Raw genomic sequence first — 1,490 nt, forward strand, 5'->3', positions numbered from 1 at the left:
ATCTTCAAGCTACAGGCATAATTCAACCTCTAAGAGGGTAGTCCAATGCTCTGTCACACCAGCAGCTACTGGATGATGCAGTAGCAGGACTACCAGTAGATTCCATGGTAGTATTCTCATTAATGCACCTCTTTTTACCATAAAGTGGTTTTCTTGTACTGTAGTGATGTTATTTAAGATATTATGTCAATAAAAGAAACATTTATTAAACACTTGGAGAGTGGTACTTTCTGAAGTGCTCCAGGCAGAAATCGAAAAATTAATCCTGGAATAGTTGTCAGTCTCCATCAGAATGAATTGCTGCACTTTTAAGCAGAATGGGATCAGTGTAATGAAATTTCCACAAAGTTATGTTTTCTTCCTCTCTGTCCTCTGGTCATAGGAAGACCCTCATGAAGCCATAGGCATAAGATGAGGAGGATGTGTCAGCATTGCCAAAGCAAAACCTGCACTGGGAAAAGTTATACAGGTGAAGAGTAATTTATGTAAGGCTGTTGCAATAGGGGTGAGGAACCAGGATTCAGCCTGAGCTGAACTCCACTGAAACAAAAGCAGGTGGATTTTTAAGCACTGAAGTGTGAGGGAGAACACAGGCTATCTACATTTGCTAATCATCTTTGCCAAAGGAAAGGTAACCTTTCTCTTATCTTTGTGAAAGGAATAGTTTCACAACTTGGAGCAAAGGACTCGTAGCAGTTAATCTCCTACCTCCCCAAAGAAACTTAGAGAGAGTGATGCTATGTCCCTTGATGATTTCTTTTCAATGAGATGGATCCTGGGTCCTTGAGGAAGACATTCCTTGATTGTAAAACTGGCAAGAGGCTTTTAAAATGATTTACATCTCAAAAGGGCAGAGAAAAAATTTACAATGACAAGTTCTATAAAGTAAATGCTCTAAGAAAGGGGAAGGGGAGAGTTCCTGTGGTTAGACCATCTGGATTCTATAAGGATCTGTGTGAAAAGGAGGTCATGGGCCTAGAGGCAGGAAGAAAATTGTCTGAAGTTTAGTTAAACTGATGGATATATTAAATCTGTCTTACTCCTTACTAAAGGGGCAGATGACATGTGTGTTCAGATTACTTGTGGCCTCAGAATTGGCTCATACCCAATCCTACATGTATTGTTTCCGTGGTGGAATGGATAGCTGCTATGCCTGCCCAAACTTATGAGTTGGTGGGCCTGGCGGCATCCAGCTCATAAGAGGCTCATAGACACCTGTTCAATCACCTCCAGAATCCAGAAACATGCCAGAGTGGTGTTTCTGAATGGTTTTCAGCAACCCTTTGCTGAAGAGGTCCTTACTCTTGAGCCCTAAGAAGCTTATCTGTGACTTTTCCGTTAGGGTTTGCCATGTTCAGCACACAAAATTATCTACTTCATATACTTTCAGCACCATGAGATTGTGCAGACAATATGTTCCAAGTGGCAGTGTTATTTGTACCACAGCCACAGTTCGGAACAGAGCCCTTTTTTGTTCCAAGCCTTACTCA

At 41.4% G+C, this 1,490-nt stretch overlaps 1 annotated feature.

The window, feature by feature from the left end:
- Nucleotides 310-1,250: an enhancer, noted in NCBI's record as "OCT4-NANOG hESC enhancer chr18:63032444-63033384 (GRCh37/hg19 assembly coordinates)". NCBI's record gives its function as "activates a minimal SCP1, AML or CMV promoter by ChIP-STARR-seq in primed H9 embryonic stem cells {active_cell/tissue: H9 hESC(primed)}" and the evidence as "EXISTENCE:reporter gene assay evidence [ECO:0000049][PMID:30033119]".

This window comes from Homo sapiens, chromosome 18, assembly GCF_000001405.40.
Source record: "Homo sapiens chromosome 18, GRCh38.p14 Primary Assembly".
Taxonomy (NCBI): Eukaryota; Metazoa; Chordata; class Mammalia; order Primates; family Hominidae; genus Homo; species Homo sapiens.